The 13648-nt window shown below is 38.7% G+C and overlaps 1 annotated feature.

The window, feature by feature from the left end:
- Positions 10158–10277: an enhancer, noted in NCBI's record as "active region_20776". NCBI's record gives its function as "activates an Ori minimal core promoter by ATAC-STARR-seq in GM12878 lymphoblastoid cells {active_cell/tissue: GM12878}" and the evidence as "EXISTENCE:reporter gene assay evidence [ECO:0000049][PMID:35858748]".

The raw sequence follows: 13648 nt of genomic DNA on the forward strand, positions 1-13648 counted from the left end.
AAAAGTAAAACCCCCACAGGTTATTGCAAATTATATCACAGGGGGTGTACACACATTGTATACACCCCAAGGCATGTACACCCCAAGTTACATTAGGAGTAACATCCCCCTAGGATATTACGAATAATATCACAGGTTGTGGACACACATGGTGTACATCCCTGTGACATTAGGTGTAACATCTCCTTAGGACATTACAAATAATATCACAGAAGGTGTACACTCATGGAGCACAGTTTCTGTGACATTAAAGGTAAAATCCCACTAGGATATTACAAATAATACCACAGGGGGTGTACACACATGGTGTACACCCCATGTGACATCAAGAGTAACATCCCCCTAGGATGTTAGGAATAATATCACAGAGTGGACATTCCCTGTGACATTAGTAGTAACATCCCCCTAGGATATTACGAACAATACCACAGGGTGTACAGCCCCTATGACATTACGTGTAACATTCCCCTAGGATATTATGAATAATATCACAGTGTGAACACCCCCTGTGACATTAGGAGTAACATCCCCTAAAAATATTATGAATAATATCTCAGGGTGTACACCCTCTGTGACATTTGGAGTAACATCCCCCTAAGGTATTATGAATGATATCACTGTGTGTACACCCCCTGTCACATGAGGAGTAACATCTTTATAGGATATTACAAATAATTTCACAAGGTGTATACCCCCGTGACATTAGGAGTTACATCCGCTAGGATATTATGAATAATATCACGGGAGTACACCCCCTGTGACATTAGGAGTAACATCCCAGTAGGATACTCTGAATAATATAACAGGGTGTACACTCCTTGTGACATTAGGAGTAACATTCCCCTAGGATATTATGAGTAATACCACAGGGTGTACACCCTCTGTGACTTTAGGGGTAACGTCTGTCTAGGACATCACAAATAATATCACAGAGTGTACACCCCTTGTGACATTAGCAGTAACATCCCCTTAGGATATTACAAATAATATCAGGGTGCACACATTAGAAGTAACATCCCCTTAGTATATTACAAATAATATCACAGGGTGTACACCCCCTGTAACATTAGGAGTAACATCCTCCTAGGATATTACCAAAAATACCACAGGATGTACATCCACTGTGACAATAGGAGTTACATCACCCCTAGGATATTACAAATAATATCACAGTGTGTACACCTACTGTGATATTAGGAGTAATATCTTCCTAGAATATTATAAATAATATCACAAGGTGTACACCCACTGTGTGATATTAGGAGTAATATCTCCCTTGGATATTACAAATAATATCACAGGCTGTACACGAATGGAGTAAAACCACTGTGATATTAGAAGTAATATCTCCCTAAAACATTATGAAAAATATCACAGGGTGTACATCCACTGTGATATTAGAAGTAATAACTACCTAAAATATTACAAATATCACAGTGGGTGTACACCATGTGCACATCCACTTTGAAGTAATATCTCCTTAGAATTTATGAATAATATCACAGAGTATACACCCCCTGTGACGTTAAAAGTAACAAAACAATATCACAGGGGCTGTACACCCCCTGCGATATTGGGAGTAATATCAACCTCTCTCAAAACAAAAAACAAACAAGCAAAAAAACTCAAACCAAAATATTTATGGTAGGCTACTGTGTGCAATGCAGAATGTTGAACATAGCTATTAAGTTTCAGTGGTAGCAGGTGTGCATTTCAGATTACAAATTCAGGTGTACATGAAGGGAAGTGAATTTTCTTTACTAGAAAAAGTTAGCAGGTGGATCAAATTTTGAGGGTTTTCTTTCTCCGCCTCTCCCCCGCTTTTTTGAGACAGGACCTCATCTGTTACCCAGGCTGAAGTGCAGTGGCACAATCACAGCTCACTGCAGCCTCGACCTCTTGGGCCCAAATGATCCTTCCACCTCAGCCTCTGGAGTAGCTGGGACCACAGATGCACACCACCACACTTCGTGATTTTTTTTTTTTCACTTTTTTTGTGGTAGAGATGGGGTTTCCCTCTGTTGCTCAGGCTGGTCTCGAACTCCTGGTCTCAAGTGACCCACCGATCTTGGCCTCCCAAAGTGTTGGGATTATAGGCATGAGCCACTGTGCCCGGCCCCCTTTTCCCCATCTTGTCCTGTTTTTTGTCCCCCTTTGTCATCCAGAACAGCAGATAGCTTATTGTGCTTCATCCCTTCTGGGGAAAATTATGGCATTTTCCAAAGGAGTCACAACAAACCTTCCCGCCTTTGGTTTCTAAAATCCAAGCCAAGTTTCAGAAATCCAAACATTTAGAGGAGTCTGGCAGATAAAATAACAGGAGTGGTGAGCTGAAGGGGTCTGTGGTGAGTTGGAGGGCGGTGGTCTGGGTAAAAAAGGTGTCTCTTACCCTGCTCCAGCTTTTGTTCTATGAGATAGGAGCCAGGGAATTCAAGCTTCCATTTTTTTTTTTAAAGTAAATCTGGAAATTCAACTTTTTAATACAAAGAAGCTCTGGTCCCAGTCTACTTAAAGGTAAGGAATTACAGAAAGACACACTGTTCCCCAGACTGAAAAGGGATTTTCCAAGGTTTAGAAAGAAAGATAATTTTGTGGGGTCCAGAGAAATAGAAATCTTTACCCACAGCCTTCTGGCAGCCCTTCCATGGGCTGGAGAGGGGGAAATTGGCTTCATGGTGCTCTAGGGAGGAGGGATCCCAGCCAGTTTTCAGGGAGCTGCCAAAAACTTCAGTGAATCAATAAAATGAGCTCTGATGTAGACTCCCATTTAAGAGAAGAAGAGAAACTGTAAATATAAAGAATAAACTTAAAAAGTTTAATGTGCTTGCATAAGATTATAATATATTGGAGCACCTATGGTGGAGTGGCTAAGCATAAGGTGAGCTCAAATACTGAGTTTATATGATGAATCCAAACTTACCTAAACCCTCAATGCATTCGTTTCTCATCTTTAAGATGGGAATGGTACTTAGTTGTACTAAGATTATCTTATAGTATTATGAGAATTAAAGTAAATAACAGGTTGAACAAGCAGCACTCATGAGATATAATCAGAAAGCATCTTTATTTTTATCTTCCACTGTCCTTTTAAAATTTATTCAGTAGGAAAGTACTTTCCCTGCTGCTGGTTGGAAATACAAGCTGACTGGTGAATTTTCTGCTACATATTGGATATTTAAAAGACTTTCAGATATTCAAGGTTGTAAACACTACCTCAGTTCTGAAAATAGTCTGCTCTCATGTAACAATAAAAACTCCAAATTTGATTTAAAGTGAGAAATTCTTCTCTGTCTCATCTGAATCTTCTTCTAGTGGGAAAGGAGGGAAAGAAAAGTTATCACTTCTTTGGTACTGTTGTAAGATGGCATTGTGATCACCGAGCATGGCGGGTGATAAAAATTCACTATACCCTCGCCAATTTTTTGTTTTGTTTTGTTTTTGAGACGGAGTCTTGCTCTGTCGCCCAGGCTGTGCAGTGGCGCGATCTCGGCTCACTGCAACCTCCGCCTGCCGGGTTCACAGGGGTTGTACACCCCCTGCGATATTGCAAGTAATATCAACCTCTCTCAAAACAAAAAGCAAGCAAGCAAAAAAACCCAAACCAAAATATTTATGGTAGGCTACTGTGTGCAATGCAGAATGTTGAACATAGCTATTAAGTTTCAGTGGTAGCAGGTGTTCATTTCAGATTACAAATTCAAGTGTACATGAAGGGAAGTAACTGGGACTTCAGGTGCCCGCCACCACGCCTGGCTAATTTTTTGTATTTTTAGTGGAGACGGGTTTTCACCACGTTAGCCAGGATGGTCTCGATCTCCTGACCTTGTGGTCCGCCCGCTTCGACCTCCCAAAGTGCTGGGATTACAGGTGTGAGCCATCGCATCCAGCCCCATTTGTTTTTTTTTGTTTGTTTTTTTTTTTTTGCGTGTCCTTCAAAAGCCAGCACTGGGACTCTCCCAGTGATGCAAGCAATGTGTTGTCCTCCAGCCAGCCACTTGCTCCTCCATCCCTGTTTTCCTTTCTTTTTTCTTCACAGTACACAGACTCTACTGCTTGCCGTCCTTTGACTTTCCCACACAGTCCCCTAGGGTAGAGTTTAAAATAGCACCATGTGGCCACATGGTGAATGCTAAATAATTGTCATGACTATTACGATAGTTGGAAGTAACAGGATTGAGAAAATTGCACAAAAAGACATGAATCTAGTTCCAAAATTAGGTATCTTGTACTGTAGGTAATTAAATGATTTTTTAAAATAAAATTTGTAAAGGCAGAAGTTAGACGATTTGGTGCTTGTTATATATACCTATTATAAGTGTTATGCATGAGTTCATCAAGTATGAATGGGGCAACATAGGATATACTAACTAAATATATATATGAGTTTTTACAAAGGGGCATGGAAGCCTTTCTAGAGAAGGCAGCATTTGAATGAAGTCTTTGAGGGTGAGGAGTGTTTTCGCAGTGATGGGCCCAGATGGCAGGAAGTGGGAAGGAATGGGAAAGCAGAGGCAAAGGAAATGTGTCTGGATTTGATGGCCATGAGTGATAGGGTGTTACAACAGGGTTCACTCATGGAGGATGATAAAAGCTGGTATTGCTTGAGAATTTACTGAATACTTCATTTGAGCTACCTGATTTGTTTCTCTCAACTCTGTAAGGCAGGAACTATTATTCCTCTTTTATGCATAAGGAATTGAGCATTAGAAAGGAGAAGGTAAGTTGGCTGAGATCTCCAGCTGGTAAGCACAGGAGCTGTGACTGGACCTCTGGCTGTCTGGCCTGAGCAGCGCCATGCCTAACTACTACATTACATGAGCCTTTAGCTGTTAGGATTATAGAAGGGCATTTACAATATATATTGGATTATAAAGAAGGTTCAGGATGATCTTCTTAAGAAAACTTTTAATTATATATTGAGTTTTAGAAAAAATTAGCTTTTACTATTGTAACAGTTTTTATAATTTCCTGACATTTCATTCTTTCCTTGTTTTCTTCCTATCTCTCTTCCTTCTTATCAGGTATTTATTAATTCAGGCACTGTGTTAGTCCCAGGATATATAATAATGAACCAAAATATAGGTAGTCTCTGTCTTCATAAGAATTACATTCTGGTGGGGGAGATAAATATTCAAATGATTTCTAAGAATAAAATTGCAAGAGTGATTTTTGCCCAAATGAGAGAAATTTGGTATGGGGGGAAATTCAGCCAGACATTGGGTGAAATTCACCCCCGATATTTCACGTAGGTTCTTTTCTATTTTCCCTAAGTGTTGGCCAGTCTGAGAAATAGAGGGACAGAGTACAAAAGAGAGAAATTTTAAAGCTAGGTGTCCAGGCGAGACATCACATGTCAGCAGGTTCTGTGATGCCCCCCAAGCCGCAAAACTGGCAAGTTTTTATTAGTGATTTTCAAAAGGGGAGGGAGTGTACGAATAGGGTGTGGGTCACAGAGATCACATGCTTCGCAAGGTAATAAGATATCACAAGGTAAATGGAGGCAGGGCGAGATCACAGGACTACAGGACCGGGGTGAAATTAAAATTGCTAAAGAAGTTTCGGGCAGGCATTGTCATTGATAACATCTTATCAGGACAGGGTTTGAGAGCAGACAACTGGTCTGACCAAAATGTATTAGGTGGTAATTTCCTCGTCCTAATAAGCCTGGGAGCGCAACAGGAGACTGGGGCTTATTTCATCCCTATAGCTAGCTGCGACCGTAAAAGACAGCCACCCCCAAAGTGGCCATTTTAGAGGCCTACCCTCAGGGATGCATTCTCTTTCTCAGGGATATTCCTTGCTGAGAAAAAGAATTCAGCAATATTTCTCCCATTTGCTTTTGAAAGAAGAGAAATATGGCCCTGTTCCACCTGGCTCACAGGGGGTCAGAGTTTAAGGTTATCTCTCTTGTTCCCTGAACATTGCTGTTATCCTGTTCTTTTTTCAAGGTGCCCAGATTTCATATTGTTCAAACACACATGCTTTACAAACAATTTGTGCAGTTAACGCAATCAACACAGGGTCCTCAGGTGACATACATCCTCCTCAGCTTACGAAGATGATGGCATTAAGAGATTAAAGTAAAAACAGTCATAGGAAATCACAAGGGTATTGATTGGGAAAGTGATAAGTATCCATGAAATCTTCACAATTTATGTTCAGAGATTGCAGTAAAGACAGGCATAAGAAATTATAAAAGTATTAATTTGGGGAACTAATAAATGTCCACGAAATCTTCACAATTTGTGTTCTTCTGCCATGGCTTCAGCTGGTCCCTCCGTTCAGGGTCCCTGACTTCCCGCAACAATTTGGAGCTATTAAAATTTAAGATTGGGGCTTTTACTTAAAAAGGCAAGGGAGAATCATGGATCTAGAGCTGAGTTCTGAAAGATGAATAGGAGTTAACTAGATGCAGTGGGAAGAGAGGAAGGCCTAGGCTGCAGAAGTAGCATATGCAAAGATCCTGCAGTAGGAAGAAAGGGCTGTGAAGAAAGCCACAGTGATTAGAGCTGAGTGCACAGGGGCAAGGCAGAGTACAGACTAGAAAAATAGAGGCCTGATCATGTGGAGACTTGCAGTACATGTTAGAATTTGGCATTTATCCTAAGGGAGGGGGGTTGTGACAGAAACATTTTAAGTAAGAGTGGCACCATAATCAGATTGCATTTTGAAACTACAGCCCTGACCATGCTATGGAGAGCAGGTTAGAAGTAGGAGAAGTGGAAGGTGGTGGAGAAATCAGGAAGTTGTCAACCAGGTGAAAGAGTTGTTGCTTAAACCAGGTGGTGTCAGTGATGGGAGATGGGCAGATTCAAAACTTATTTAAGGGGAGAAATCAACAAGACTTTGGGATTGGCTAGATATGGGACATGAGAAATGGCAATGCCATGAAGAGACTGTATTTTTCTGGCTTGGAAACTGGATAGTTTGCCATCTTTGAAAAAGGAAGACTAGGAACAGTTTGTTTATTTGTTTAATTGTTTATTTGTTTTAGGGTTTGATTGATGACGGGAAAGCACATGAATTTTGAGTTGAGGTACTTTTGAATCCCCAGAGATTTTTGGCAATGGAATTTTAGCTTTGACCCTTCAACTCAGTTCCTGCCAATACTCTACCCCAATTTTTCAATTTCTGCCTCAATTATTTTCCACTGGGAAAACTGAGTCTTCACGGACTCTGACCAATTGCTGCTGTCCAGAGTCATTTGCTGGAAATGACCTTTGGCCCCTAAGATTTGACCTTTCCCACCTTTCCACGGATCCCAGAAGGAGTCCAGCTGCCCAGATAGACTTCAGGTGGCTCAGATGCTTTAGGCTTGTGACCTTGACTCAGACAACAATGTGTGGCCCTCCTGATACATGAGGCCCATACTGCTGCTCTGTCCTTGTTTGAGCTCTTGCTAGTTTGGCTTCAACACCACTTGCTCCCATTCCCTCGTCCCTCCACCTTGACTTCTGCCTCTCCTCCATCTCGTAACCACTAATTCCCAGCATATCTTGTGACTGGCTTCACATTATTTGTGACACGTGAAGATTAATAATTTCTTCATTCTTCTGGCTTTTTCTTTTGTCCTTCCTCAGAAGCATTTTATTAGATGCTTAAGTGAAGCTGCAAACCTGCAATTTATACACCAGATGGCACCAAAACATTATATTTTAAATATTAGTTCGAATTTTGAGGGGGAGAAATCCAAACCTTCCACTATTCTGAGACTAGCACAGCCTCCGGTGCAAGTTCAACAAATGAAAATTCATACACCAACTTCCCAGAATCTGTGGTGGTGTTGCTTTTTATTGGCAGAGAGAGAGAGGGAAGGAGAGAGAGAGAGAGAGAGAGAGAGAGAGAGAGAGAGAGAGAGAAACCTTTCCTGGGAAAAGGTCTTTATTTTTTCCTCTTTAGAATCGTGCTAAAGAGCTAAATGAGGGACACGAATATTCCCAGGGACTCAGTCATTTTCACTCAGTCATGTTTGCTTCACTGTTCTTTTCTCAGTGTTAAGGTTCTGTTACTGAACTTCATTTTGGCAAGAATAACAATACCATTGCTGTCTTTTATCAAAATGATAATTAATATAAGTAAAAATGAATCTATGAATTCAGTATCCTAGCTAAACAGAGAAGTAAAATTAACCATTCTTTCCCAATTTTAAAATGTAATTGTATTTTTCTTCCATTTTAAAATCTAATTATTATTGATATAGCAAAAATAACATAGATGAACATTTAAGTTATTAAAACAAATGTATCTTCTTTGTATTATGTTTTAAGTGTAGAATAGACAGTTTTTGTTCAATCAACATAATTAATAGCTGATGGTCCTGATGATACAGTTTAAGAATCTTTGAGGGTTTTTAAAATTTTAGCAAAATTGTAATGGCTTAAAAAATACCACCCACCTTATAAATTAACACTCTTTACTGGATGATTATGTATCCATTTGGCAAAATGTAATCAAAATGTTATGTGAGGTAAATTCTATAAGGAGTTGTTCTTTCAATTTGGAGATCTGATTAATGACTTATCGAGGGTAACAGAATGTGGATAAAGGGACAGTAGATATTAACTATTATTATTATTTTCTTTGGAGGGAGAAAAAACAATTTCTGAATAAATGTGCAGCATCAAGTGAATTTTTAAAATGAAGCCATGTTAAAAATAGTTTGATGCTATTGCTTTTATGTATACAGTTTTATATTTTGTATGCATATGTATTTGTAGTCTTTTGCCAGCAATTGTAACATACACATACATATACATACAATACAGAAATATTCCTTATTTTGTAAAGATGTGTGTGCATGGGGGGAGGGTTAGTGCTGTGTTTTTCCATTGCATGGAATAGAATGTGTCTTGCTGTAGGACTTGGATAAACGTCTGGCTGCTTCTCTTCGCCTGGGGAGTCACATGAATGTCCACAGTTGCCAAAGTGCTTTGGGATCACTTAGGCTAAAAGATGCTATTTATTGTGAAGCTATCTCATTTCATTCCCAAGGGAATTTCATCATCTTGTATTTGTGAAAACTGTCAGTGTGTCTTTCTCAAAATGTAATTATCTGAAAGAAACAAACCAACACAGAGTGGACCTCTTGTCTTCAAAGTCATTTTATTAAGAGTAAATTAGACTGGAAAAATGATTGCCTAAAATGCATTTTCAATAGATTGCTGTCTAAAATGCATTTTCAATAGATTGCTGTCAGGCTTGCTACCTGTCAAACAGAGAGGCCTGAAGTTTCATAGTGACATATGGATTAGCCCAGTCTTCCCTACAGGGTGAAAACAAAAGACAATTGGTGATGCATGGGGCAAACTCATCTTAAAACAGAGATATCAACAAAGGAATATGACAGCATGAAAAGACAGAGTGCAGTCTGCTGTCCACATTCGCAAAGAGATTCTGTCTGAATCCATAACTTCAATACACTAAGAGACAGAAAAAGAGAAAATACACATTAAGTATAATTGTTTATCGGGTACTTCATTTTAACAAATGCTGAATTTCATTCTCTAAATGGAAAACAAGTGGGAACAATGGATAGAATGAATGACATTATAAAAAGTTATTACAAAGAGCCATATGAAATTAGAGTTATTTGATTTAAAAAAAATCATTCCTCATAGAGACTTGAATGTTCAAATTTCTCATCCACCAATCAATTTGAAAAGAAAGGCTTAAACTCACAAAAGAATCTCAAGAGCAAAACCTTTTCCAGGTTAGAGCTTAACTAAACTGGTGAGGTCATTTAGTTCAGAGTTGGCTTGGGGAAAAAGTACATATCAAAGTTGAAGAAAATCCTACAGATCTGCTTAGGTCTGGGAAAATACAGTATGGATTTTTTTTTTTTAACATCCCATGTGAACAATTACATAGAACACTTGTCCGACCAGCAACTTTCAATTAAATAGAAATGAAAGTTACTCTAATAGCCATTTTAATCCATATATCCTAAGGGACTCAACAAACAAGTGTAATAACACAATGCAAAATTTAGTAAAGGAAAATGGTGCATTGAATTACAGAAACTGCTGGCTTTCTAAGCTTGGGATTAGATGCTATAAAACCAAAGTAAGGTTGTTTTGTAGTTACACAGTACTCACTGGAGAACCATGCAGAGCTCAGTAGTAAAAATTCAGCAAAGGGCACCTTTGGCTTATTATATATCCTGAAAGAATTTGCTAAGGGACAGGGGTCAGTGATGACTGTTGGGTTTTTTGTTGTTGTTTTGGTTTCGTTTTTGTTTTTAACCATCGCCTGTATGATGGTTTCCTTTCCTGGAGACAGTGCTAACTCTACAAAAGGGATAGGCAGCTCCCTATAGAGGGTCATTTAAGGAGAGCTGAAAGGCCCATTGCGGTGCCATGGTGCCGAAAACTCCTGTGATTAGTCATGCCTTTAAGGCCTACCAGAAAATTGTGTTAAGTTTTTATGGGTATTTTATATAAAGTGGAAGTGGGACATATCTTTTAGTTAACATATTAGTATAATTCAGTATATATGTCCTAAAAGTTTGAAAAACATGGCAAATGAGTTTTGGGGGTGGTCTTAGGCTATGCCAGAGGACACAATATGAGACACTACCTCAGAGATCATGAGGGTTTGGAGAGGGCTGAGGATATTAGAATTCAGCAGAGCAGTAGCAAAAAATAAGGGACATCAATGAAAGCATTTTTCAAATGTACAATTTTGCCTTAAACAGAGTTCTACCTAGATAATTTAGGTCATTGATATTTGCTTTAGCACCACACAGGGTTAAAAGTGCATAGAAAATTGCATATGACAGAAATAAACATGTATACTATACTTTCTTTTTCTTTTCTTTTGTTTTTTTTTTTTTTTGAGTCACAGTCTCACTCTTGTCACCCATGCTGGAGTGCAGTGGCATGATCTTGGCTCACTGCAGCCTCCATCTCCTGGGTTCAAGCAATTCTCCTACCTCAGCCTCCCGAGTAGCTGGAATTACAGGCGCCAGCCACCACACCCAGTGAATTTTTGCATTTTTTGTAGAATGGGGTTTCACCACGTTGGCCAGGCTGGTCTCGAACTCCTGACCTCAGGTGATCCTCCCACCTTGGCCTCCCAAAGTGCTGGGATTACAGGCGTCAGCCACCGCACCCGGCCGTATACTATACTTTTACATCAGTTTTTAAAACTTGTATTTTCATTTAATATCACTTTGCTTTCTCTATTGATTATATCTCTTGCCACTTAATGTTTCGCTTTTCCAAGAGCCCATGGAAAGCAGCTTCTGTTTCACATTTTTGAAATATAAACTCACAACCCTGAAACCTCAGTGTGTACTCTTCTAATATAATTATTGCTGATTTTGTTGCTGTTAGATTTGTTCTTGTACGAGTGTCATTGGTTACACTATTATCTCAGCATTAACACAGTGTGTCCAATAAAATTCTTTTCACCTACATAAAACAGATCATAGTTGATTATCCAAATAAGGGTTTATTTTGCTCTCATAGAAAATAACCCAGGGATCAGCCAGACATCCAGGACTGTTACAGTGACTCTTGCTGCTATCAGGGTTTAGATGGGTCTCTCCTTCTGCTCCTCTGTTTTTGATATGTGACTTTCATCTACCCAGTCATCTCATAGATCCAAGATGCTCGACCCCTAGCCTTCCCTGAGTATTACAGATGCAAGAAGAAGAAAGCAACAGGGAGAAAAGATGATACTTATCAGGAAAGACAAGACTCTCCCAGATAGCCAAGTTATCTTCCGCTTATATTTTGTTACCCAGAAATGTGCCTAATGACCACCACTACCTTGAGGGTGCTGGGAAAATATAGTTTTATTTGGTTGAAAAACCAATGTTCTGTTTGTATGGAAGAAGGAGAGACTATAAATATCTATGAAGGAACTGACAGATTCTATCCCAGACTGATAGCTCAAAGAGCGCACATAGAATGGAATGGGAAAATACATTCTTAAAAGGATCCAATATTTAACTGCTTGGGATATAAAAAATTTCTATATTGGAGGGAAATGTGGACCAATGGAAGGATGATTGAAAATTTACTTGAGGATGTGAAGAAGTTAGTGTTTAACCCAAGTGCACTAAAAAAGTTTTTTTTTTTTAATTTTAAAAAGACTTAAGGTTGACTTGTGTGGAATGAAGGAAGAGGGGCATGAAAGAATACTAAAGTGAAAGAACAGAAAAAGACAATCATGGCTTGTTTCTTCATTATGTTTGAAAACAAAAGATGAGCAGGTGAATTTTACCTGTCTGCACCACACACAGAGCGTAATTATTAAGAGCAATGGCAGACAGAAGTGGTTAGTTGGGTCTTCTTGACACTTTTCTAACTGTGTGACTTGGCCAAGTTACTTAGCTTCTATCCCCAAGTCTCATTTAGCAAGACAATAACTAATCCAAACTCATTGGCTTGCAGGATTACGTGATACAATGCTGAATACATAGCAATCAAAATATGTTAAATGTCAGCGGCAGCAGCATAAATATAATCACTAGTATTATGGCTACAGAACTGGGAATTACGTTGTTGATCCTGGCCCAAACTTCAAAGCTCTTCTGTGTGATCTTGGATAAGTCATTTAATTCTATATCCAGTTTTTTTTTTTTCTTCAGTAAAATGAATGTATAATACCAAACTTATGGGCTGGTTATAACAAGCAAATAACAGAGTTCGGAAAAATTCTTTAAATAGGGAAGAATTACATCCAAATTTAGATATTATTAGTGTTACCTTACCATCTGTACTTCCCCCTTTTCTATTTACCACTTTTTTTCTTCCCTACTTCCTATTGACTCCCTCAGATGAAATTGGCAAAAGATGTGGTAGATAATACTTGAGATCTTTCTAAAAATTACATTTGATAAGTATGAATGGTATTCCTTCAATCTGCAGCCACTAGAACTCAAATATTTATCTGCAAGAAACTGAACCATGATCTAAAACCTTTCTTGTGATTTTCAGCTCAATGGAAAAATTATGTTTTTAAGCTGTGTATGCCAAAGACCAACATACTCTTCTGACATGCTACATGTTCTAAGTTCTTCCTTTCAACTTTGGAAGGTATTAAAATTGCCTGCCTTTGTAATAAACAATTCCTGTTAAAAACTGTCTCTGTTTGGAGAGTCCCTGGGGATAATATGCAGATTATCTGCCTCTGATGGTGGGAGTTGTCACTGATCTCCATTACCACCTGCCTCAGGCCTTGGAGCAATTCCATATGCAGTTGGCCTTAAATGCACCACAGTCCCCACTTGCATTGTCAGCTTTAGTCACTTTAAATGGTCTCCAGTAAGTACTTAAGAATAGCTTCAGTAGGGTATTCCTGATTTTTAGAGCTTAGATAGATTCCAACACGTATCTTTTATGCCTCCCGCGTTATTTTCTATTTGTGCAATATACAGACTTTCTATTCCAATTTTCCATAATTGTACTTAAGGGACACTTAGTATTTGAAAACAGCTTTTTCCAAATTGATGCAACAGATTTTTGCTTTTTTGCCATTAATTCTAAACCTTTAAAATGAAGCTGAGTAATGGCTGGCATTCTTCTTTTTTATGTGTTAAAAATTAAAGTTCTTTATATGGGGCTTCAGCTCTTCAATATATTCCTTTTTTCTATCCTTCTTTTTTATTCCTCTTGTATAAAATATACTAATATCACCCAGA

The sequence above is a fragment of the Homo sapiens genome, chromosome 3, assembly GCF_000001405.40.
Source record: "Homo sapiens chromosome 3, GRCh38.p14 Primary Assembly".
Classification (NCBI taxonomy): Eukaryota; Metazoa; Chordata; class Mammalia; order Primates; family Hominidae; genus Homo; species Homo sapiens.